The sequence below is a fragment of the Homo sapiens genome, chromosome 14 (genome assembly GCF_000001405.40).
Source record: "Homo sapiens chromosome 14, GRCh38.p14 Primary Assembly".
NCBI lineage: Eukaryota > Metazoa > Chordata > Mammalia > Primates > Hominidae > Homo > Homo sapiens.
In genome coordinates, this window is record NC_000014.9 from 39,707,777 (window position 1) to 39,735,073 (window position 27,297).

At 36.9% G+C, this 27,297-nt stretch overlaps 1 long non-coding RNA gene across 11 annotated transcripts in view, besides 1 other annotated feature; it reads left to right on the top strand.

Moving 5' to 3' along the window:
* LOC105370461 (uncharacterized) overlaps positions 1-27,297 on the top strand; it is a 433,650-nt gene that overhangs the window by 275,428 nt on the left and 130,925 nt on the right. For 4 of the 11 annotated variants that reach the window (XR_001750723.2, XR_001750719.2, XR_007064120.1 and 1 more), the window contains one exon: positions 4,205-4,356. The exons of 2 other annotated variants lie outside the window; for them this stretch is intronic. This is a non-coding gene — a long non-coding RNA (uncharacterized LOC105370461). Of the gene's footprint in view, positions 1-4,204; positions 21,137-27,297 lie in introns of those variants that run through there. 5 more of the 11 variants (XR_007064119.1, XR_007064125.1, XR_007064122.1 and 2 more) reach the window with 4 other exon arrangements.
* Positions 26,473-27,006: an enhancer, noted in NCBI's record as "NANOG hESC enhancer chr14:40203453-40203986 (GRCh37/hg19 assembly coordinates)". NCBI's record gives its function as "activates a minimal SCP1, AML or CMV promoter by ChIP-STARR-seq in primed H9 embryonic stem cells {active_cell/tissue: H9 hESC(primed)}" and the evidence as "EXISTENCE:reporter gene assay evidence [ECO:0000049][PMID:30033119]".

Below are 27,297 nucleotides of genomic sequence, written 5' to 3' on the forward strand. Positions count from 1 at the left end.
CCTGTCTGATTCTTTAGTTTCAGTTTCTGCCACTGTAACTTCCCTCCCGTGAATCTTTTACATGTATTGATTTGGAGAATCTAAGAGAGGCCAAGTTCTTTTCACATCAGGATCTTTCTACCCTTGATTTTCCCTCCCCAGCTCTTTGCATGCCTACTTCCTTTTAACCCTTTAGGTCTTAGCTTAAAAATCCTGACCCTAGTCTATAAGGATTCACTTCTGGACTATTTTGTATCTCATCTACTTACTTGTTCATTTGTTCATTGCCTGACTCACTAGAATTTCGGCTTTATGAGGACAGGGATCTGGTCTCTCTTCCTGGCCTAGAAGCTGGTAGCCACTCAGCACACATTTGATGGATGCATCAACAAATTAGTGTAGTAAATAATCAGAATGTGTAGGATGGGCCAAGATAATAGACAGGCATAGGTATGCTTACCCTGTGCTTCTTGGTCTTATAAAGGAGGAAATTACTAAGTAGGAAGAGATGATATTTGGTGTCTAGAATTTCAGGATTAATATGAAAAATAGAATCAAACATGGATTTGGCATCTATAAAACAGAATGAGAGTATAGGTGGAAGTTAAATTTGGAATAAACAATGGAATTGTAGGTGCATGAGCTTTGACTCACTGAAGATGTTTAACTGGAGTATGGAAGCCAACCTGTACAGAATGTGGTGGTGAGATGTCCTATTTTAGATTGGAACTTGGTCCAGAGACATCTAAGGGCCCTTCCCTCTTTGAGATGCTGGGATTTTTATGATTATGGAAGATTTCTTATCTGTATTTCCCAGTATTAATATGTTATTATGATTCTGTGGGTTGTTCCTCTTTCAAGTCAGACCTTATTGGGTATCCTCTTAAGATCTTTCAACAAACTGTGTGTGTGTGTGTGTGTGTGTGTGTATCTGTTTGTGTATTCAAATCAATGTGTGCTTTAGACATTATGTTCAGAGCCTTTACATAAACTTATATAAGATGGAATTGATAGGGACACATCTTCGCTTATTGCATATCTTTAAAAGTTACCATGATGCATGACTGGAGCTAGAAAAGGAGGTCAATTCCAAAGCAACTCCATATATTACATTTTAAACTTTATTTTAACAGCATCATATATGTGCCATAATAGCCTTTAATATTTACTCTGGAATTATTATCTTCAGTCATCAGCTAATGTGTTTGATGGGAGAAATACAGAGAAATGATGCCTAGAACTCCCCAAAGATGAATTGACTGACTTCTGGAGATCATAAAAATCTTAGGCAAGGTCTTTTCATTGACTACAGCATTAATACAGGTTCAAAGTCCATATTCAGCTGAAGAAAATCCACATTTCCAAAATAGTTTACATTTTCTCATCAGTAACAATTCACAAAAGATTTTCATTATGTTCTGTGACAGAATGTGACTCTACAAAGTACAAGAAAACCTACATTTAATGATTCAGCATTAGAAGTCTGTGTGGTTTCTTTGTTGAAGTCATTTTCAGAAGGCATAGATTATATAACACGTCTTCTTTTAAATCATATAAACTTACATGCTAATTTGGATGTTATTGATGTCATTTGCCCACACTTTCAGTGTTATTCTGGCCATTTAAAAATTCTGGACTTTTTTTTTAAACGCAATGCCTCAGATATTTTCCTTTATTTTGATTTCTGATTTTCTTTGTAACATACTTCCAGTTTTACTTCCTAAGTACCCTTTGCTTTCTTAGTTGTCCAAGAATAATATATCAACAAACATTTGCTGAAGCCTGCCATGTGAAGGATATTGTATCTACCATATCTTTCACTTTACTTCTTTACCCTGTAGAATTTGGCCTTAGTATTATAGTCTGCGCTCCCTTTAATTGTTATTATTTTTATTATGGATGGAAATTTGTTTGATGCTCATAAGTTCTTTTGTTTTTGCCCTCTTCCAACTATTTCCTAAACTTCTTGTCTTTATCATCTTTACTTTATTCTATGGCATTTGAATTTATCCCTCATTGCTTCTTAAAGACCCTTCTCATTCATAGTTTCTAATGTGAAGTGCCATATTCTATGTTTCCTATTGCTAGTATAACACATTACCATAGCTTAGTGTCAAAAACAGCACAAATTTACCAAATTGCAGTTCTGGAGGTCAGGAGTCCAGATGAATTTTAGTGAACTAAAATTAAGGTGTTGGCAGGGCTGTGTTCCTTTCTGGAAGCACTAAGAATTTGTTTCTTTACTTTTTGTAGCTTCTATAAGCCATCTGCATCCCTTGGCTCCTGGCCCCCTTTCTCCATTTTTAACTCCAGCAACTGTGAGAAGTATCTATTCATGTCCTTTGCCCATACATGTCGCCAATAAATACATGAAATAAAGCACAACATCATAAAACATCAGAAAAATGCAAATCAAAACTATAGTGAGATTCCATCTCACATCAGTCAGAATGGCTACTATTGAAAAGTCAAAAAACAAGAGATGCTGGTAAAGCTTTGGAGAAAAGAGATGCTTATACACTGTTGGTAGGAATGTGGATTAGTTCAGCCATTATGGAAAGCAGTTTGTGGATTTCAAAGAACTTAAAACAGAATTACTATTCAACCAAAAAATTCTATTACTGGGTATATACCAAAGGAAAATAGATTATTCTACCAAAAGAAACGTGCACTTGTATGTTTGTCACAGCACTATTCACAGTAGCAGAGACATGACATCAACCTAGATGCCCATCAATGGTAGACAGGATAAAGAAAATGTGGTACATATACACCATGGAACACTATACAGCCATAAAAAAGAATAAAATTATACCCTTGCAGTGACATGGAAACAGCTGGGGCCATTATCCCAAGTGAATTAACGCAAAAACAGAAAACCACATACTGCATGTTCTCTCTTATAAGTGGAAACTAAACATTGGGTACACATGCTTATAAAGATGGGAACAATAGAGACAGGGGATTACTATTGGGGTTGGGGCAAGGGTTGAAACACTACCTATTGGTAACTATGCTCACTACCTGGGTGACAGGATCATTCATACACAAAGTCTCAATCACATGTAATTTGCCGTGTAACAAATCTGCACATTTATCTCTTGAGCCTAAAATAAAAGTTGAGGAAAAAACAAAAACAAAAATAAAACTACCAACTGTGGGCCACGTCTTTATCATATTAAGTCACTCCATAGTGATTCCTCTTCTGCCTCCCTCTTGTACATTTAAGAACTCTTGTGGTTACATTGACCCTAGGCAATCCAAGATAATCTCCCTAAAGTCAGCTGATTAGCAACCTTAATTGCATCTTCCATTTTAATTACCCTTTGCCAAATAACAGGCAACGTAGTCACAGCTTCTGGCGATTACCACAGGACATCTTTGGGGGATCATTATTCTGCCTCGCATCTTTGGGGGAATCATCTCTTCTATAACCAAGCCACTCCCCACTCAACTGGAGGAGGCTTTTCCACTTGGGCTGCTTCTGTGGCCTCCACATTCTTCTTCATCTGCCTAATCTCTGCTGACTGAATAATTATATAAAATATAACTGTGCCTTTGCTTTTTGTATATAAAGCATATTTAAAACAATTAAATATCTTCAATATCTGAGTAACAAATATTAGGAACAAAACAGGTAAAGATTGCTGACTACCTTTTCTCCCTGTATTTAAATTATTTATATTAGATTTGTTTTCTTTCTTTTTGCTTTGTTATGTATAACTATTTTTATTCCACTAGAGACACAGAGCAATATAAAAAACCAGAGTCACTATAAGAAAACCTTTTAGTTATTAATGGTTTTATTTTTGTTCACCACACATTTTATACCATTTTTGTGATTTACTATGAATTGTACATGTGATTTAGATTTGCTGCTTTCTCATTTAGTTTTGATATAAACCTGTATAGTTATATTTCTGCCAGAGTCTTTCTGTGTTTTAAAGTATGTGTCTTGTTTTATTTTCTGGTTATATATAAACTAGACATTTAATCCTTTTTGAGAAAGAAGGTTTTGGTCTGAAAGCATACAGGTGGTCTTAAATTAAAGGAAATTAAAACTGTGTAGTTGCTGTAGTCTCGGTCCAATTTCTAGCATTTAAGGTGTTTCTGTAGGTAATAAGCTGGTTACTCATATGCTATTTGTTTATGTTTACCTGACTTCTCTTAAACACCAAGGAGATAAATGTCGTAGACCTAACCATATCCATATTTTGATATTTAGGATGTTCTTTCTCTATGTAAGGAGAACAGTACCTTTTCTGACTACTCTGAAATGAATCAAGAACAAATCTGTGTGGAATTTTGGACCATAATCAGGAACAAGAATCTCGGGAATCCTTGGAAATAAAGTAATTTTCTTACAATTTAAACTTACTTTCTGTCAGAGGACAGCTATTCATGTATTTCTGGACTATTTCAATTCATTGAGCTTTACCTGCTCAGGATAAAGAGGTCCTTTGATAAAATCAATGAAGCCAAGCAGAACACTGCAGTTTCTGAGTTCAGTACCAGTTAAGTATTTCCCTATTATAAGGGATCCCTATTGTTGGAAAATAGCTTTTCTATTCACAGAAATGATGAGAAAATGACATCTTGCTTTTTGCAGTAATATGAATACTTACTTTTGAGATCTAGTAAATTAACATTGCTGACTCTTCAGACTGGCCCCTTGAATTAGGGTCAAATCAAGGAAATGAAATGCATATATGCACATTCTGAGAGTAAACAGACAAGTAGTCATGCCATTGCTCTCTTCTCTGTGCACAGCACAGGCTTAGGGCTTTGCATAAATCAAATCAAAATATTTGTGTTTTTGCATGGATTTTAACATTTGTGTTTTAAATCTATTTTCTGAGTAGATTTTATGAACCTAATGAAAAAATTGAAAGCAATTCCTCCAGCATAACTTCTGAGTGATACTACTGTACAGGTAACCCTGTATGAAAGGGAAAGAGTTTGATACAATGGACACTGGGAGGCTTTACCTGGAAGTGCCCAAAAGATACCATTAGTTGGTAATTTGTAACTGGCTCATATGTTAAACATTGTAGGGTTGAGAGTCTAGATGACATGTGAACAACAAAATCTCCATTTTTAGTGCTGATACTTTTATGTCATTCAGACAAGAGCTGGTAGGTTTAGACATTTATCCTGAAATAATGAGAAGTTTTTCATTTCTGAATTAGTTAGAAAGTTGGCACTAAAACTGCCCCAAGGCACGGTCTGTGAATCTAAGTGTATCCACACCAAGCCATCTTTCATTTAAGTCTGTTTAATAAATCATCTTCTTAACTGGTGCTGGGGGCATAAAGTTCATGCCTCTGGCACAACAGAAAAGAAGAAAAAGATCAGGAGCATAGAAGTTTTAAGAAATGTAATATTTTCAGCTTGGGTTTTCTGACATACAAGGAAAAATGCTATTTAAAAATTATTCCTACTTGGATAAAAGCAGCTGCTCCTAGTTCTATATAATAAAATTTGGAAAGCTGAAGAGATGGGCCAGCTTTTCTCCAGGGTTCAGTGGGCTTCATGGGGCAAGCATTAGACTAGACTAGAGCAACACTGCTTCATGAAGGCAGAGCTAAGTGACCATTGATCATTGAATGAATTAATAAAATAATGAAAATTTCAGTTCCTTTTGACTCAGTTCTCAGCTAAGTTATTTTGCTATGTATAAGGAAGTAGTTTTTGATATCATTGTTAGAGAGATGGGGCATGGAATTTTTTCCCCATCAAGCTTATGGATTATTTTTTGCCAACAATTTCATATGAACTTGATGAAAACTTTATATTTGGTCACTAAACAGGTTTATAAGCCACTCATAGAAGGAATGTGATTTATTTTGGGGGCAAAATTTTGGTAGCTTCACGTATTTATTCGGTAAGTACGTGTTTATTGGATACCTACTCTGCACCAGGCAGTGGCTAGTACCCTAGACACTGACAATACAAAAGTGAATAGACACACACATATGTCCCTCTGCTCTTGGGTATTCAGACATGTAAACAGTTAAAACTCAATGTAGAGTAAATGCTATAATGGACTACAAACAATGCGTCACAGAAGTATGTAAGATAAGGATCAAACCCAAACTTGAGGGATTAGGAAAAGCTTTCTAGAGGAAATTACATCTCAGCTGAAACCTTAATGCTAAATAGGAGGGAGCTAGAAGAAGGAGGCAGAAAGAGTGTTTGAGGCAGGAGAGCCTGGTGAGACTTGGGATGAAAACACTTCATAAGCAGAGTATGGAGTGGGGAGAGCGGAAGCTGCCATGATGAGCAGAGGCCAAGTTCAGAAGGGCCTTGAAAGCCATGCCAATGAGTTTAGGATTTGTCCTTAGAGCTTGATTGAAATAGTAATCTAGTAAGTGAATAATAAGGCCTAGGGTTATAGGAAGTCATTGATAACTTTTTAAAAATGGAGCTATTTAGTCAGACATGTTTTAGAATACTTTCTCTGGTTGTAGTATGGAGAGCAGGTGGAGAGGACTCAAGACTAGAGACAGGCAGATTTTGGCAGCTGAGTGAGAGGCAACCATACCCTGCAGCAGAGAGATAGCCATGGGGATAGAGGGATGTGGGCTGACTCAGGAGATCATTATGAGAAAAAATGTCCAGATCTTGGTGTTTAGTTGGATATGAAGGGCATGAGAGAACAAGAAGTTCAGGGTGACTGCCAGGTTTCTGTCTTGTCTTAATGAATAGAAATGGTGCCACTCACTGAGGAAGGAGGACTAGGATGAGGTAGATATGTAAGTTCAATTTTAGGCATGTTAAGTTTTAGGTACCTGTGGGATAATCAAAAAAGCTTAGAAAGCTGTAGTGTAGAAATTTCTAAATCTCAACTTCCTCATATTCATTCTTCAAGCTGACCTGCATACAAACTCTGATGTCTACCAATTAGTCTTTCCTTTTTCACCTTTCACATTGCCCTTCTCCACTTTACAAAAGAAAAGTGTACTTCCCCCATCCTAAGTTGTATTTTGATGCATTGCTCCAGGGTGTAAAAACACTTGGGGCATCAAAAAGAGGGACAAATCTAGAATACCACTTTCTTGAGGGAAAGTCTCTTGAAAGTAAAATAAAAAAAAACTTCAGAGAGAAATATTTGAGGGGATCTTGTTTTATCCAGGAGACAAACTCAAGATAAGAATTTGTCTATCCATCCATGTCTTGTTTTATTCATCTATCCACCAGCTATCTACCCAACAATCAACCATCCATTTAAAAATCAATTAACCTATCTTAGAATACAGAAGTATTCCACAGATGCATGACTGTATGAATTTTAAAATAAAATTGTACTGGTTCTGATGAAAAGTAACCCTGATTTGGCTGATTAGTTTCACAATGTGGCCTGATTATCTGAAAGACGTGTTCTATAAATAGAATGAGCTAAATCTACAACTCCAAGACTTGGATAAAAATATATTTAATGTACATATATAATATAAGCCATAAATACATCCTTTGAAACTATTTCACTTTATGTGTTAAAAATTTTTAGATTTTGATTTCAAAATATGTGAGAAATAGTTTTCCAAAATCTTTTGAGAGCATGAGAACAAAAATGTTTGGACAAGTGCTTAGTCCATTGCTTCAGTTACCTCCCTATAAGTGTCCTATTTACCTTCTCTCATTATATTCCACTCATAACCAGCCAGAAAATACCTACCGTGCCTGCTATTTCCTTGGCTAAGCTGAAGTCTTGAGCATGGCTGGAGAAAAAAAAACCTCATATAATCATATTGGTGCCACTATGATGTCATTGCATTCAACTTGTACTGGGGTCCTCAATGCTATTTTGCAATTCATGTGTGTTTTTTAGCTTTCTTCTATTTCCCACAGCTTCCATCTGAAACATTTCACAAGCTCCTCAGACTTACAACTCCCACCACCTCCCACCGTAACTTCAGCCAGCCAACATGCTGTCTGTTGCCAGCCCCGCCCCCACCCTGAAATATCTGTTCTTGGGATTCTATCCCCTCTTGCCTCCTCAGGAATCTTTTTTCTTTTAATTATTCACCCCCACCTCCATCCCTCTTACTTGATCTTCAAACTGTTCTTCCCATCTGCATTTAAATATACTCTGGTCTCACCCATTAAAACAAACAACATCAAAAAACCCAGAAAACACACAAAATATATACCTCTCCTTGGATCTCTTATCTATCTGGCACCATCTCATTGCACTGCTCTCCCCACATTCCAACTTCCCTAAAGTGGTGTGTACGTTCTGGCCCTCTTCCCCTTGCTCTTAATGATGCGGTTTCTGCCTTCACCACCCCATGAATGCTGCTCTCTCCAAGGTTACTGACCTATTCCTTACTGCTAAGTCCCTTCAACTTATGGCAGTGCAGCCTCTTCTGAGCATTCCCTTCTCAAACATTTTCTTCCCTCAGCTTCCTTGGCACCACCCACTTTCCTATTTTTAAAATTTCTTCAAAGCACTTTATTATGTTTACAGATAATGTATACATATATACATATATGTGTATATATGTATACATATACATACATACCAATATGAGGATGAAACTGGTTCCAAGAGCATTTAAGGAACAATGATATATATAGTACAGCAGGAAAGACATTAAAAGGATATTAGAATAGGATAGCTGGGTTGGATACAACATTGGTTAGTGGCCCACGGGACAACAGAACAGCCATCTTTAAGGTTATCTTTTTTACTTAACAAAAATCTACAATTTAACATATAATTCCATAGTGTCTAGTCTCTAATCAAATAGGAAATAGCAAAGTCAAACATGAGTAATCAGATAAATTGTCATGAAGTGGACTATTGAAATAATATACCAGTAGACATCAAAAGGGCTTGCTCTACCCTTTTATCCTTATTTTCAAGTTTTATACTTTTTTTTTTAACACTGGCATTACCTAGTTACTGTACTTAGCATAGGATAAATTATGTTTCATGCTTTTTGCAGATTCTAAGGCTTTCTAAAATTTGTTGATTTACATGTGTGTTATTATATACTCAATTAGCGCTCCTAAAGTTAGACAGGGTTTCAGTAATGCCAATATTCTAAAAGCCAATAACCTAAAAATGCATAGGTTAAGAAAGACAAAGGAACATTTTTTGCTAAGGAAAGAAATCAGGAATGGGGAAAAAACAGGAGCATATTGTGATACTTTTGCGGCAGTCTTATTAATCTCAGAAACGACTTCCCTATAACCAATTACCTGTACTGTGAATTCTGTAATGCACCACATGAAATAATAGTAAACACTTATATTGTCAATTTTGTAAGATATTTTCTCAGAAATAGCCATGCTTATTATCTCAACAACCTTGTAGTTGGAGCAGACATATTATGCCTCTCATTTTAAGAATAGAGAGTGTGAATTAGGAAGTGCTTCAGCAACAGGGCCAAGACTGTAAATCAAAGGTGCTGTCTTGACTCTAATCTATTGGATCTGACAGGCTGGAGATGGTTATAAAAGCAGCCCCCAGTTTCCAGACAAATTATGTTCCTAAGGATCATTTGTAGGTCAGTTGTTTTGAACTCGACACATTTTTCTATAGAAATTGTGTGATGAATGAAGGTTATGTCTCCAGTTCAGTCTGCCAAAGCCTTTAACCCACAATGTGTCCATACTTCAGTGATACAGAGCCTCCTCATCATTTGTTTCTATTAGTTCAGGGCTTTCATTTGGGATGTAGGGAGCACATTTTCCTGTGCTCTACCCGTGTCCACTTCAGCACCAGAGCTAAGGGGTGTGAACTTTTCCAGCTTCATACAGCGAATGGTAGCTCTGGGTGTGGTTGAGTAGACAGAGGCTCTTACCAGGGGTGCCCAAGGGCACTCAATTCAGAATCACTGGAGAGAGCCCTGACACAGGTGTCTGAGCAGGACAGAGACTGGAACTTTAGGGGGATGAGTTTGAGGAGGGGATGCCGAAGACTGGGTCGCAGGTAGTGTTGACAATAGTAGACAGTTCTAAAAGTGGTAGACCTCAGGAGTGGGAGGGTAGTGCCTATCTCTTAGGTTGTAGAATAGCTTGTTAAATGAAACCCAAAGAACAGGTATGCAGGTACAGGGTGAGAAAGAACAAAGTTGCTTTTTGCTATCTTCCTGAGTTCAGCTCATTCAATAAACTCATTGCATTTGTTTAAATCTTCTCGATGATTTTATAAAATGTATTGTCACTGCAATGGAAAATTAAACAATATTGAAAAGTACAAAGAAAAATGTAAAAGTCACCCAAATCTCTTCATTCATAGGTAAGCATTATTAGCTTAAAGGTTTCAATCAGAATTGGAAAACTATTTCAGACATAACTCTAGAAACTATTCCAGAAACTTCCCAGTAAGGGAGCCTAGGGCCCAAGCCTCAATGGTTAATAATTTTAACATTCCTTCCCAATCATTTTCTCAGATTAGGTAGTGCTGCAGACTTTCTCTAGCCTTTACTTTCTGTCTAATATGTAATTGTGTGATTATTTGAACTATGTAATAGTTTTTCTTGGAATTTGCTATTATCTTGTCACCTTTGTCCAAATTGATATGTAAGAACTGTGGAGAAATGGAGGAAGATTCAATATCAAAAAGTTTGAGCTAAATGTCACAAAATGCTGAACAGTAAATGAGGCCATGTGCCTGTTCGTGTTCTCCCCAGCACCAGGCTATGCCATTTTTTTTTTTAAAATATTGACCTGTCTAATAAGGGGGAAATGTTTCCCAATCTTAGGTAAGTTTATTCATCTGTGAAATGGAGATGATGACAGTATTTATTTTCTTGGGCTATTGAGAAGATCAGTTGAGTTAATACATGAGAAAACAGTAGGCCAGTGCCCAGAACATGGTACACTCTCAACAAATGTTAACTGTTCTTAAATTTTTTGTATGTAAAACAAAGGGGCAAACTAGGTGATCTCTGTGGCCCCTCTAGAGCTATAACTCTAGATCCATGACACTGAAAATGTATAGCTGTCCTTTTTTGGCCCATAATTTAAAAAAAATGAGTACACAGCAGGTTTAAAATGGCAAAAATGAAGGGAGTAATTGCTCTCAATTTAAGACGTATCTGCAGTAAAATTAAACAGGAGACTGTAATATAAAATAACATAACCTGTAAGCATTGGCTATTACGTATTCAAAGGCATTATTAAGCCACTAGAATACAGCTGACATTTAAGTCCACCTGTTTAGCTACACTACAGTCTTACCAAGGAAGATAGAAAAATAGCTGGAAACCTTACACATAAATTCTATAGAACATGAGGAACAGTTATCAACTGTCGTTCATCTCAGCCTCTACTGAAAATCAGCAACTTTTATGTAAAAGTCAAATGTAAATATTTGAAGCAATGTTTGAAAAAAATGGACCATAACAAGCTTACAGAGTTAGGGCTGTTGACCTGCCAATATTTAGCTCTTCCAAGCCAAGTCTTTGTAAGCTCAGCTCAGTAAATTCAAATATTGAGCATAGTCCTTTGTATATGGGAAGTTTCAGTGCTCCAGAGTTATTCATTTTACCCTAGGAAGCAAAATCCCTGATATTAAAGGAACTATCTGACATAAGTTTGGAATTATAGAATCCTAGAGTTTAAAGAGGCTTAGCAATCTAACTTTTTCTATGATATTCCTAATGAGAATTTGAATTCTGCTTAAATCCTACTGAAAGTTATGGTAGATGTTCCAAGTGCTAACTGAAGCTTCTGACATCCTTCCTTTTACAGCTGTCTCATCTCCTTGAAATTATACATGGCCATGGACTGCTTTGGCCAATGAAATTTAAGTGAAGTGATGTGAATCACTTCCAGGCAGAAGCATTTAAGAGCTGATTTATGATTCAAGCTCTGTTTCCTTGCCACAGTGGCCGCTGGAGACTTGTGTTTAGATGGCAGTGTCATAGGATGGTGGATCTTCTGTCATCTTGAGTCTTTGAAGGCTACAATGCGTAGGATCTTTTGTGACCTGTGCTGGACAAATAAAGTAGTATAAATAAGAAACAAACTTTTTTTGATATACCATTGAGATTTGGGGGTTCTTTGTTGCTACAGCACAAACTAGACTAACTTGATTGATACTTTATAAAACTCTGCTTTTATGTAAGCCCCTTTTATAGCTGGATACCTGGATAGAAACATTATTTTAATGTTACATTTCATATTGAGCTAAGATATAACTCCATATAAGATTAAATTTAATCTTTTTCTGATGTCTGGAGCAGAAGAGAATTGCAACTTTTGTTCTTCCACTTGACAGTCCTTCAAATATCAGAACATAAATGTTATGGTCCCCACACCCTCTCTCTGCAAAGAAACCCTGTTTTCCCCTTGACACATGGTTTCTGGGCTTTTCACCATCCTGGTTACTCTTTGGATAACTTTTATTTTGCCAGTGTTCCATTAAAGCATAATGTCTAGAATGGAATTCTTACAAAATTAGATACTGCAGGAGAGATCATTGCATGGCTTTTCTGAGGTTTGTGATGATGGAGAGTTATATTTATTTATTAAAAGTACATTATTTTAGACCATATTTGAAGTTGACATTTTAAGGTGGCTTCCAGCACTGAATTTGGTTCAGGAAGGGTTTGTCCATCCTCAATCTCAATTGGAAGATGATAACCTTTAGAAAGCAACAACATCAGGAACATAGTGTGGACCACATCTGAGGTCCAGCTATGGACAAAATGAGTGTTATTGAAGATTTCCAGTGGGACAGTAATAAGGATATATTGTGTTACAGAAAAATAATTATGGAAAAAATTTAAAAGAATAATCACTAGGTGAAGCATACTTGGGAAGGGGTGAGAGAGAAAGGCAAAGAGAACAATCAATTAACCAATGAATCAACACAATTTATTAATTGCCTACTAAATGTAAGACACTGAGCTACATGGGTTGGCCCACTGGTGAACAAAACTTATATATGAAAATAGGAAGGAGTAGGTGGATAGTAAAAATGGTCAACAGATATGACATTCTAATTAGTACTGTAGTATGTGTAAGTGAACAAACTGAAAGGACAGGAGGCTGATGTCTGAGGATAGGATTTTTAAAGTAGGAATTTGAAAAGGAACAGTTTCTAGTGATGACAAAGTCAATGAAAGTACAGAAAACCCATCTCAAGTGACTTAAAGACAAACAGAAAAGTCCACAAGTAAAGTTGTTTCAGGAACTATTCAATCAGGTCTTGGTTCTACATTTTCTTTTTTCCTGTTTCTTTGGTTCTTCTTTCCTTTATATGTTAGTTTTTTCTTTAGGCTGATTTTCCTCCTGGTTGCAAGACAGGTATCAGCAGCAATGGTGAATCCATTCTTCCTAGTTTGCCTCTCGTGGAAGAAAAAGTGTCCATTTCCTGCAACCACTGAACAAAAGTTTTGAGCTTCACTCTGATAAGATTATGCCTAAGGCCATCAATGTGGCCAGGTAAATGCATACACTAATTCTAGAGGTAGAACTAAAGTCAGTTTATCAAAAAGTTGACTTTAGGGCATAAGTAGGGGGATGGGTCACTGTTGAAAAAAATTGAAGTATAGTTAACAAGGGCACATGATAGAATGAATGCTGTGTTGGTAACTCACAGATGTCCACAATAAGTTGTACAGAAAAATGGGACCAGATTCAGAGAGGTATAGATTTTTACAAACACATTGGGGTGGGAATGATTGAGAAGGTACTATGGGGAATGAAGAAGACACTGATATGAACTCCTTACCCTTAAATATATGAGGATGAAAAGAATGAGCAACCTTGATACAAGGGGCACAGGGAAAGCAGTTCAGGGGAGAACACATTTTTAGCTAAGGGAAAATAAGTGGAGATACAGTCATGGACAGTGGGTTTTGAGAGGCCCTGGGCAAGCCTTGTGGTTTAGAAATGGCAGCAGAGAAGTGGTGATATCATTAGTTCATATATGGAATGTTGCAGGAGGAGAAGGCCTTGCTAGATCTTTCAACATTGTCACCTGCAGATGGAGGATTTCCAGACATTTGATCTGCAACTCAGAAAAGAGGGCTGTTTAGGAGGACATTTGTATTTTGGAAGAAAGTGAGAAAGGGGTTGGAGCAGTTTAGCAGGAGGGAGAAAATGGGAGAGAACTTTCCTTTATGAAGTCTTCTCTGGTTTTCTTCAGTTCGATGTTCTCTATTACATAGGTAGCTATTTTCCAACTGATAAAAAATATAGTTAATGCTAACTAAAAGCAGGAGTGCATTATTTTGAAATCTTTGAGTGAAGAGCCAATTTCTGAGACTCCAAATTCCAATAAACAGCACTTTGTTAGCATTCATAACCATTTATGTATTTATCACTCACATACTTGCATACAAGTAGAACTAGTTTCTCCTCAAGTGGGACATGACAGGTACGTGTTGCTTTTGATGCTCTGGCCACAAGAACACCTGTTCTTGCTTAGCATCTCTTTGTACTTTGGGGATTTGTAGCTGTTTCTTTCAATTCAGCTGAGAAGTAACATGAGGCTTAGATCCACAAATCCACCTCCTGGGAGCTGGACGCCCATCTCCATTTGGCTCTGTAGGGTCAAGATGTCATTGATGGTGCAAGTGCCTGTGCCTGCGCTGCCCTCTCACAGCACACCTCCTCCTTTTAGCCATCTTCACAAATCACTAGTTAGGCACCACTCTGCTGCAGGCTGGGGGAGCTTCCCTTCCTGATTCTCCTTGCCCATGCAGTGCTTATTGCTTTCTTTGGCTTGGGCTTCCCTCCATGCTCTTGTTCACATTATTGATACATGTTATCTCCTCAAGCTTTAAGTAGTTTCCCACATTGCATCCTCTCACATTCTTATTCTTATGTTAGATTTATTTTAATTATTATATTTGAATATATGATTCAATAATATTCCACATTTCTGCCTAATATTTGTTTTTTTTTCTTTTAGTATTTATCAGTTTCTGCCTTATGTGGTTGATTGTATGTCTGTCCTATCTGAGTTCATGCATCTAACAGTCATACTACTGTAACCATCATATCTTCACAAAAAAAAAAAGTGTTCTGCTTTCTATACTTGAGTACAAGATCATTTCCTCGGCCCTGTATTCTCTGCAGTACCAGCACAGTGCCTTGGGTATCATGGTCACTCAAATATTTGATCAAGTAAGTTTATAGATAAATGCCTATCTAATATATTAAATCAGAAGATGGGGATAATGAAGTATAGCTTGCTTTTAAATAGAATTTTTTAATGTTATTATTAAGCCAACTATTTTATGTCTCATTGCTTTTAGGAGCAAGGTAACATATTTCATACTTTGGCATTGGTTTCAGTAGCAGGGGGAACAAACTTACAGCTTGCTATGAGTTGTTCTGTGGTCAGAACAAAAGTTGCTAATGATCAAGCACTTATCTAGTAAGGCTAGTTTTTTTTCTCAAGATATTTCTCAATACTGTATTATTGACAACTACTCCAAGTAATTAGAATAGGCATATAATATTGAACATTTCAATGGTTTACTACACTTAGGGAGAATATTATAGAGAAGATGTGAGTCCTGACTTACGATTTTAAAAGCTCTTCTCTATTCAAGGGGCAGAGTTCTTGTGGAAGGAATGAGTCCAGTGTGGTCTGTGGTGTGCATGAGAAAATAAGCAGCAAAGGGTAAGATTTTTTTTAAAAAATATAATAAGTTGGCTGAATCCTGAAATATTATAAATCTCATGTGAATAGTCCTTAACTGCAGACATGGAATATACCCAGATTTTGAGAAAATGCTATAATTCTTATACCTCATGAATACTCCGGGGAAGACAATCCTTCAGGTTATTTCCCCAGTAGGTTCTTCAAGAAATATGTTATAAACAGTAATGTTGAAAGTTTTACTGACTGATGCAATTAAATTTATTCCTTTTTTTTTAAAACTTTTCTCTCTGCTATAATGTAATATTCTTTAGTCTATGTTTTATTATCCTTCACATTAAAAAAAGGATAATGCTACTATGAACACAATGGCTGTTCATCTAATGGAACATTTGTTAGTTTTACAAGACTGTCTATGTAAACAATCATTAATCTTTGGAATACTGAGATAAAAACCTTAGCAATACTCAGTTATTAATTTTTAAAGATACTGTAAAACTGAGTTATAGTGGCAGAAAACCCATAAAACAAAGTATTAAAATCTTTTTTTAATGTTACGTATACGGAAAAATAGGAATTTGGTTCAAATATCTTTGCTGTCTTCAACTTTTTTTTTTATATTCTCATTGGTGATCTAAATTTATATATGTAAGAATAGTCAATCTCCTAAACTAGGGAAACTTTACTATGGCAACAAAGAGTAAACATTTTATTGGAGGAAAATTTTGCTCTAACTTTTACCACTCAAGAAGTATAGTATTATTAAGAAGATGTTTAAACAGATCTATTAAAAGTTTAGATTTTTCAAAGATTTCCTAACAGAATAATTTTAAGATTAAGATGATTGCAATATAGATTTTTTTCCCCTGGGGCAAATACTAAGAAAGTGCCTAACATTAAGATGTTAAAGACATTTAATCCCAGAAATAGAGAAGCATAAAATTGAAGGTATGACAATAGGAACTGATTTGTTAAAATGGCCAAATCAATAAAGGTTAATGTCAAAGAACTATGCATTCTGATGAATTCTCATGGCCAAGCAGATTGATCGGTGTTTCATTTCCTTATCATTTCATTTATTTTCAAAGTTTTGAAATTGAACCATGTGCTTCAACTGATGAAAATTATATTAACTTTGTGAGATATGAAATTCACAGCTTCTTTACATGGAGTAATGAGAAATAAATTCTATGACTTTAAAGATGTAAAACCTATTTTAAAAGCCTTTTAAAAAGATGTAAAACCTATTAATAGCTAAACAAAGTAAAAACATTTTAAAGAAATTATATGATTTGTTTTTTAATTTTTAGCATATGTTATGTTGACTCTTAGAACAACGGAAAAACTATCGACATTTGTTCATCTAAAAATTTACTTCTAAACATATTCTCAATTATTAAAGAAATGCACCAATATATTAATCTTTATCAGACTATTTTACTGAAATAGAATTGATATAATGTTGTTTAATATAATCAGAAAGCATAGTAGAAATACATAGTACCCTATTATATCTTATTGCCCAAGGAAGAAACTTAATGAGGAAAATTTAAAGTGGCATTCAAAGAGCAAAATTCTTCATGAAACTTACTTAATTTTCTAGTAGAATGATGTTTACCTATATTTAATACAAAAGGAAATTACAAATTATTAATGGAAGGTTAAAATTGGGTATCACTATTATGATACACAAAATGATGGCTTCCTGAAGTTGTTCATGTCCTAGTCCCCAAAATACATGAATATGTTACATTATATAACAGAGGGTAATTAAGATTGCAGATGAATTTAAGTTTGCTAATCAGGTGACCTTAAATTCAAGAGATTATCCTGGATTATCCATGCTGGTCCAATGTGACCACAAGAGTTTTTAAATGTGCAAGAAGGGAAAGAGTCATTGGCAGAATAAATGCAATGTGAGAAAGACTACAATGGCCATTTCTGCTTTGATGATGGAAAGGGGCCAGAATCTAGGAAAGGCAAATAGCTTGTAGAAGCTGGAAAAAGCAAGTAAACAATTCTTTCCTAGAGCCTCCACAACAAATCCAGCCTTGCCAATATCTTGATTTTAGGCCAGTGAGACCCATTCAGACTTTTCACCTCCAGAACAGCAAGATTATAGATTTGTATTATTTAGGTCACCTAAATTTGTGGTAATTTGTTACAAATTTGTAACATGTTGGGTGATGGGTGCATCAAAATCTCAGAAATCACCAATGTCATAACAATAATTACAACAATAATAACAAAATTATTATGATGTTGTATCAATTTCCTATCATTGTTGTAACTACAATTTTTCTGGAAATTTTAGGATTAAAATTTTGAGACCAATTAAAGGAGAGGGACCTAGCAATAGTGGTAGCCACAGTTACTATTAGCCACGTTAGCTACTTTGTTAGAGTTTATGAAGTTCTTTTATGTATTTCATGGGCGCTTTATTATAATTCAGCCAAGTAGAAGTGGCCACGTTGATGTTCCTTAACAGCTAAGGAAACAGAGCCTCAGACAGATGATGTGGCACATAAAGATATGACACTCAGTCCCTGGACTTTCCTCTATAGATTCTGGGCTCTTTGGCCTGTGTGTTGGTACCCAGCACAGGTAGGCACAGAGAAGACTTTTAACAGAATTGAAACTTGTTTCTATTCCCAAGGTCTCAATGACAATTTGGAGAGTTGGCAGCTACTTGGGTTTCAAACCAGCCTTAAAAGTTCTGAACGTCTTTGAATCTGCTCTTCATAAATCTTCCAGGGTTTTGTTTGTGGGTAGGTGACTACAAGGAAATTACAGTTTCTTGTGAGTTTCTATTATGACCTTGAGAAAATAGTAAACAACTTCATTTATTTCCTGAGCTAAGAGAATCTCATACTTCAGTTGCTAGGAAAATTGAGAGAACAAATGACTTTCCTTCCTAGGGAGAGTTTCCTTTTTTCAAGTTTCATGTTTCAATTTATTTGGATAATTCATTTTATTTTAAATTTAATATTACTGAACTAATTCCATTTTTAACTTATGATTTATATCAGTCATGGAGTAAGAAGTTCGAAGCCATTATTAAAGAATGGCCGTGGGTAAAATGATTGGATTCTGCCATGGAACATGGTAAGCTAGTGGGCCAGTATTGTGTAGTAATTTTAAGTGCAGAATGCTTGAGTTTTAATTCTGGGATCCCCCTTCCTAGCTGTGTGACTTTGGGCAAGCTGTTTATCTCTTTGTGCTACAAATTGTTTATCTGTAAAATAGGAGTTTTAAAAGTTATTAACTTGCTGGATTTACATGATAATTAATTGAGGTAATATACGGAAAGTTCTTAGAACAGTGCTAAGTGTTAGTTACATGATTCCTGTTTAAATAATTCATTACTATTAAAAGGGAAGAGAAACTACCTTCAAAAATAGTACTGTCTAGCCTTAATATAATTAATCTGTCTGACCCTAGCTACCACTATAACCAAGGTAAATTTTTTGCAAGTCATAAGAAAACTAATGATTATCTGATACTCCAAAAATTTGTTTCCTAAAAAATCAAAGATTTTGTCTTCAAATTGGAGCTGTTTAACCATCCGTTAATGGAGACAACCACATGGAATTTAAAAAATGTGATAGGTAGAGCAAATTATCATTGAGTTCTTAGTAGAACATTTTCTCCACATTTCTCTGTTGTATACACCATCAGGAGGAATAAACAATTTCACAAAGTTGCCAAAATGTTAGCATTTTTACTGAAAACGCCTAGTCATAGTTTTGTTTTCTGCAAGTTATTTTAAAAATTGGTGACATTATTCATAAGCAAAAAGAATCATTTTATGTAGTATGTGGCATTCTATACCTGAAACAAAAACAACAACAACAGTGGAACAAATCTGCAATGTAAAAAATAGGTAAAAATAAATATCTTATTAGAAACAAAATAGGCAGTGCTTTTAAGGCACATGTTCAAATAATAAGCAAAAAATAAAAATGTTATTTGATTAAAGAGATGTTTAGCTCTCAGGAAGGCAGTAGTGATTCTAAATCAATGGGATAAATATCAGCAATAACAAAGGTGATTAATAAACTACTTTTTGTTAAATATATAATTGTTTATTGGAGAAACTGGAATTCTTAATTTTAGCATTATTAATTTCTTCGTGGAAAATAGAGCCTCATTTTATCTCAACATTTAAATAGAGTCATATTTTTAAAGATATTTATTGTTATTATTTTTTATTTCAATAGTTTTTGGGGAACAGGTGGTGTTTGCTTACATGGATAAGTTCTTTAGTGGTGATTTCTGAGATTTTGATGTACCCATGACCCTAGCAGAGTACACTGTACCCAATATGTAGTCTTTTATCTCTCACTTGGCTTCCTTTCCACCCTTCCCCCCAAGTCCCCAAAGTCCATTGTATCATTCTTATGCCTTTGCATCCTCATAGCTTAGCTCCCACTTATAAGTGAGAACATATGATGTTTGGTTTTCCATTCCTGAGTTACTTCACTTAGAGTAATGGTCTCCAGTTCCATCCAGGTTGCTGCAAATGCCATTATACTTTCCTTTATATGGCTGAGTAGTATTCCATGATATATATATATCACATATATATCATATGTGTTACGTTAACACATAGATATACATAAATATCTATATATATCAGATTTTCTTTATCCACTCATTCATTGATGAGCATCTGTGCTGGTTCCATATTTTCGCAATTGTGAATTGTGCTGCTATAAACATGTGTGTGCAAGTGTCTTTTTCATATAACTTCTTTTCCTTTACGTAGATACCCAGGAGTGGGATTGCTGGATCAAATGGTAGATCTACTTTTAGTTCTTTAAGGAATCTCCATACTGTTTTCCGGTGTGCTTGTGCTAGTTTACATTCCTACCAGCAGCGTAAAAGTGTTCCTCTTTTACCACATCCATGCTAATATCTATGATTTTTTGATTTTTAAATTATGGCCATTGTTGCAGGAGTAAGGTGGTATTGCATTGTGGTTTTGATTTGCATTTACCTGATTATTAGTGATGTTGAGCATTTTTTCATATGTTTGTTGACCATCTGTGCATCTTTTGAGAATTGTCTATTCAAGTCCTTAGCCCACTTTTTGATGGGATTATTTGTTTTTTTTCTTGCTGATTTATTTCAGTTCCTTGTAGATTCTGGATGTAAGTCCTTTGATGGATGTATGGTTTGTGAAAATTTTCTCCCACTCTATGGGTTGTCTGTTTACTCTGCTGATTACTTCTTTTGCTGTGCAGAAGCTTTTCAGTTTAATTAGGTGCCATTTATTTATTATTGTTTTTGTTGCACTTGATTTGGATTCTTAGTCATGAACTCTTTGCCTAAGCCAATGTTCAGAAGAGTTTTTCCAATGTTATCTGCTAGAATTTCTACGGTTTCAGGTCTTAGATTTAAGTCTTTGGTCCATCTTGAGTTGATTTTTGTATAAGGTGAGAGATGAGGATCCAGTTTCATTCTTCCACATGTGGTTTGCCAATTATCCCAGCACCTTTTGTTTAAGAGGGTCTGCTTTTCCCACTTTATGCTTTTGTTTTCTTTGTTGAAGATCAGTTGGCTGTAAGTATTTGGCTTAATTTTTGGGTTCTTTATTCTGTTACATTGGTTTATGTGCCATTTTTATACCAGTACCATGCTATTTTGGTGACTACACCTTTGTAGTATAGTTTGAAGTCAGGTAATGTGATGCCTCCAGATTTGTTCTTTTCACTTGGTCTTGCTTTGGCTATGTAGGCTCTTTTTTGGTTTCATATGAATTTTAGGATTGGTTTTTCTAGTTCTGTGAAGAATGATGTGGTATTTTTATGGGAATTGCATTGAATCTGTAGATTGCTTTTGGCAGTATGGTCATTTTTTCAATATTGATTATACCTATCCATGAGCATGGGACGTGTTTACATTTGTTTGTGTAGTTTGTGATTTCTTTCAGCAGTGTTTTGTAGTTTTCCTGGTGAAAGTCTTTCACCTTCTTGGTTAGGTATATTCCTAAGTATTTTATTTTTTGTTGCAGCTATTGTAAAAGGGGTTGAGTTCTTGACTTGATTCTCAGCTTGGTTGCTGTTGGTGTGTAGCAGTGTTACTAATTTGTGTACATTGATTTTGTAGCCTGAAACTTTACTGAATTCATTTATCAGAGCCATGAGCTTTTTGGATGAGTCTTTAGGGTTTTCTGGGTATATGATCATATCATCAGTGAACAGTGACAGTTTGACTTCCTCTTTACCAATTTGGATGACCTTTATTTTTTTCTTTTGTCTAATTGCTTTGGCCAGGACTTCTAGTACTATGTAAAATAGAAGTGGTGAAAGTGGGCATCCTTGTCTTGTTCTGGTTGTCAGGGAAAATATTTTCAACTTTTCCTCATTCAGTATAATGTTGGCTTTTATTACCTTAAGGGCTATTTCTTCTATGCCAGTTTTGCTGAGGGTTTTAATCATAAAGGGATGCTGGATTTTGTCAAATGCTTTTTCTGTGTCTATTGAGATAATTATATGATTTTTTAAAATTCTGTTTATGTAGTGTATCACATTTATTGACTTGCATATGTTAAACCATCCCTGTATCTGTGGTATGAAACCCACTTGATCATGGTGGATTATCTTTTAGATATGCTGTTGGATTTGGTTAGCTAGTATTTTGTTGAGAAGTTTTGCATCAATGTTCATCAGGGATACAGGTCTGTAGGTTTTGTTTGTTTGTTTTTGTTATGTCCTTTCCTGTTTTGGTATTAGGGTTATACTTGCTTCATAGAATGATTTAGGGAGGATTCACTCTTTCTCTATCTTTTGGAATAGTTTCAGTAGGTTTGGTACCAATTCTTTTTTAAATATCTGATAGAATTAAGCTAGAATCCATCTGGTCCTGGATGGACTTTTTTTTGTTGGCAATTTTTAAAATTACCATTTAATCTTGCTGCTTGTCCTTGGTCTGTTCAGAGTTTCTATTTCTTCCTGCTTTCATCTAGAAAAATTGTATATTTCCAGGAGCTTATTCATTTCCTCTAGGTTTTCTAGTTTGTGTGCATAAAGGTATTCACAGTGGCTTTGAATGATTTTCTATATTTCTGTGGTATTGGTTGTAGTAGCTCCCATTTCATTTCTAGTTGAGCTTATTTGGATCTTCTCTCTTCTTTTCTTTGTTAATCTTTCTAATGGTCTATTGATTTTGTTTATGTTTTCAGAGAACCAGCTTTTTAAAAATTTATATGTCGTGTTTTTTTTGGTTTTAGCTCTGCTCTGATATTTATTATTTATTTTCCTCTGCTGGGTTTGGGTTTGGTTTGTTCTTTGGTTTGAAGTCCTTTTAGCAGTACTTGTGGTGCTGGCTTGGTAGTAGCAAATTTTCTCAGCATTTATTTGTCAGAAAAGGCTATCTTTCCTTCATTTATGAACTTAGTTTCACTGGATATAAAATTCTTCACTCATAGTTGTTTTGTTTAAGAAGGCTAAAGATAGGATCCCAATCCCTTCTAGCTTGTAGGATTTCTACTGAGAAATCTGCTGTTAATCTTATAGGTTTTCCTTTATAGGTTACCTGATGCTTTTGCCTCATAGCTCTTAAGATTCTTTCCTTCATCTTGACTTTAGATAACCTGACGACTATGTGCCTAGGTGATGATCTTTTTGCAACAAATGTCCCTGGTACTTTTTGAGCTTCTTGTATTTGGATGTCTAGATCTCTAGCAAGGCCAGAGTTTTCCTCGATTATTTCCTCAAATAAGTTTTCCAAACTTTTAGATTTGTCTTCTTCCTCAGCGACACCAATTATTCTTAGGTTTGATCATTTAACATAATCTCAAACTTCTTGGAGGCTTTTTTCGTTAAAAAAAATTTTTTTTCTTTGTTGGATTGGGTTAATTCAAAAGCCTTGTCTCCATGCTCTGAAGTTCTTTCTTCTACTTGTTCAATTATATGGTTAAATCTTTCCAGGGTATTTTGCATTTCTTTAGGTGTGTCTTTGATGTGCAGAAGTTGTGATTATTTTTTATTTATAATATCTCTTTATCTGGAGATTTTTTGGTCCATATCCTGTATTATTTTAAAAATTTCTTTAAATTGTTTTTCACCTTTCTGATGCCATCTTAAGTAGCTTAATAATCAATTTTCTGAATTCTTTTCCTGGCAATTCAGAGATTTCTTCTTGGTTTGGATCCATTGCTGGTGAGCTAGTGTAATCTTTCAGGAGAGTTGTAGAAACTTGTTTTGTCATATTACCAGAATTGTTTTTCTGGTTTCTTCTCATTTGGGTAGACTATGTCAGAGAAAAGATTTGGGACTCAAGGGCCACTGTTCAGATTCTTTTGTCCCATAGGGTCATCCCTTGATGTAGTCGTCTCCCCCTTCCCCTAGGGATGGGCTTCCTGAGAGCCAAGCCAGACTGCAGTGATTGTTATTGCTCTTCTGGGTCTAGCCACTCAGCAGAGCTACCAGCTTCTGGGCTGATACTAAGGAGTTTCTGCAAAGAGTTCTATGATATGATCTGTCTTCAGGTCTGTCAGCAATGGGTGCCAGCAACCTGCACTGGTGGAGGTAGCAGGGGAGTGAAGTGGACTCTCTGAGAGTCCTTGGTTGTAGTTTAATGCACTGGTTTTCTTGAATGCTGCTTATGCTAGCAGTGAGGTTGTCATGTGGACAGACTCAGGACCTCTGGTTAAGGATCTCCGAGTAGCCAGGATGCTGTAGGTGGTGGGATTAGCTGTTGTTTTCTCCTTCCTTGGAGCAGGGTTGTTCTGAGTTATTGTAATAGCTTGAGTTGGTTAGCCTCCAGCCAGTAGGTGGCGCTTTCAAGTGAGCATCAGCTGTGGTAGCATAGGGAGAATACAAGCTTGGCCTTAGGTCATCTGGATAAGTATTTGGTTTTCTCAGGGTTAGAGCATGGGGAGAGATGAGAAAGAAGACAAAACAAGAAAATGGCTTATCAGTTGAGACAGGTTTATTGAGAGTAAACCTCAGAAGGGCTTCTGGCTGGCAGGGTCAGGAGAAAACTTTTTTTTACAGCCTGAGGCTTTTTAAAAACGTACTAGTGGGGGAAGTGTTTTCTGAGAGAGGTTCCTATTGGGGCTCTGAGAGAGGTTCCTTATTGGGGAGGGGTTAGAGGAATGCTGGCTGGTTGGGACTGCTGGGGACTTTGATAAGCTTGGTTAGGGTGGTTATGTGCTGTTAAAGATATAGATGGGGCTGACTTTTGCAGTTTGGTCAGGTGGCAATGGCCAGTTCTGAGAAACTTGATACTTTAAGGTGGTGGAGTCTCGTTAAGATGGCAGTACTCTTGTCCTATCAATCTGGACTCTATGGTTAGATAAGGAGATGGGCCAGTGTACTTTTTCTGGCTACTTCCTGCTGAAAGGGGGCCATGAGATTGTTGGTTCTGGATTGACTGGAGGAGTAGCACCGTCTTCAGGTGTTCTGGGGTGGCAGCTTGTGAGATGGCTGTAATTCTGTTGGTAAGGAACATTTAACTAGGAACTGATTTGGTTTTCTTGTTGCTCCCTAATTCTTTTAACTCTTTTCTTAAGTTTTGAGCTGGCATCCCTTACCAAGCCTGACTGGTTGAGATAGAAGCAGCATTCTTCCTGTATGGAGAGGCAGAGACCTCCTCTGCTGTAAGGAGGTTGAGTCCTCTCCAGTTTTAGAGGACTACTCCAGCTAGGGAGTCTAGCAGGTCTTGAATTCTTACAAGGTCCTTGGCTATATCTACCAAGGATTCTTATAGGTCTGTGGAGAGAGCCTTAAAATATGAGAGTGAAGTGGCTAGTCCCCTAGCTTCTAAACCAATGCCTGAGCTGATGCACAAATTGAGTGGCTTCCTCCACCTTTCAGCTCTTGGCCAAAGCCATCCCTACCTACTTTTGTGCTAGGAACTGAAACCACCCCCCATCCAAAGTTACAGGGCCAACACCTGGCTTTAGCACTATAACTCAAACCCATCCCATTGTTTGGGATAAAATTCTCCATTCTTGGTGGCCCACCACTCCCCAATCAAAATTTCATTAAAGTATCCTTCTCGTACATCACTGTCCAACAGTATTTCCTCAGCCCTGATGGTTTCAAGGACTCAAGCCCATCATCTCCCGACTGTTAACTGCCAGTGTCCTCATTCCAACCCACTCCCTTCATAACACCCCTGTTCTTCTGGTCCAAAAACCAGATGGGTCCTACTGGCTCCTCCAGGACCTTCATCAAATCAGTTCTTCTGTCATTCCCGCACACCGAGTCGTCTTAATCCCTATACACTTCTCTCCAGAATCCCCCCTCATACCAGCCATTTTTCAGTACTAGACCTCAAAGATGCCTTTTTTTTACTATACCTCTACACCCTTCTCTTAAAATTTGTTTCACCTGAACGGATCCAGACACCAACCTCTCCCAACAGCTCACATGGACTGTCCTCCCCCAGGGTTTCAGGGACAGCCCTCACTTTTTTGGACAGGCCCTTCAAGCAAACCTCTCTAAGTGTTGGCTAACCCTAGCACCCTCCTCCAATATGTTAATGATCTACTACTCTGTTCCTCTTTGGAGGAACTCTCCATTCAGCATACTGTTACCCTTTTAAACTCCCTTGCCCTGGTAGAGGTTCCTATCAGGGAGGGGTTAGGGGAGTGCTGGCTGGTTGTGACTGCTAGGGACTTTAATAAGCTTAGTTAGGGTTGTTCTGCTCTATTAAAGATATAGGTGGGGCTGACTTTGCGGTTTGGTCAGGTGGCAACAGACAGTTCTGAGAAAGGGAAACTTGATACTTTAAGGTGATGGAGTCTTGTTAAGATGGCCATACTCTTGTCCTATCACTCAGGTGATGAATGGGGCCACAGAGCTCCCACAAATTTCTATGTTTTGTTTTTGCCTACCAGAGTGGGTAGAGAAAGACCATCAGGTGGTGGCATATTAGGCATGTCTGAGTTAAGACTCTCCTTGGGTGGGGCTTGTTGTGGCCACTGTGGGGGATGCGGGCTGGTTCTCAGGCCAATGGAGTTATGTTCCAGGGGAGATTATGGCTGCCTCTGCTGCTTTGTACAGGTTTCCAGGGAAGTAGGTGAAAGCTGGCACTGAGAGGCCTCACTTAGCTTCCATGCAGCCAGTAAGGCTAGTCTCACTTCTGCCATGCTTCCCCAATAGCCAACAGAGCTGAATTTATATCCAGGCTTCTGATATGCAGGGCTGTGATCTTGCCCCAGGCTACCAGCCTCCCTGCTGAGAAAGCAAGCAGGGCTTTCAGGCCATGCCCCTCCCTGCCTGCCATGGCTTCTGTGCTTGACTCTGCACTTCCCATTCACTGCCCCCCTGGATTCTGCCTGGGAAAATTTGTGCTTGGTCAAAATTATTACAAAGTTCAGCTGGAAGTCTCCTTCTCCCTGTGGTCATTCCCTAGTTACCCTGGCTGCCCTCCCCAAGGACCCCTGTGAGAAAAAGTCAGAAATGGCTTCGCTGGGTTTTTCTGGGGACTGGGAGTGCCTGTAGGGCTCTTCCTGCTGCTTCTTGTACTTTTATATTTCACTCAACTCTCTAACTTTGTTTCAGCTCTAGGTAAGGTTAAATCCTTCTTCTGTGATCTAGATTTTCAGGTTCCCCAGTGAGGATGTGTGTTGGGAGGTGGACTTTCATACTTTCACACTTTGGGCACTCACAGTTTTTTGGCTGTCTCACAGAGTTTGCAGTGGCAAGCTACTTCTTTCAAAGGGTCTGTGAATCTTTCAGTTTTCCTGGTATGTTCCTGTGGTGGTTCTTGGAGCAAATGTTTATTAT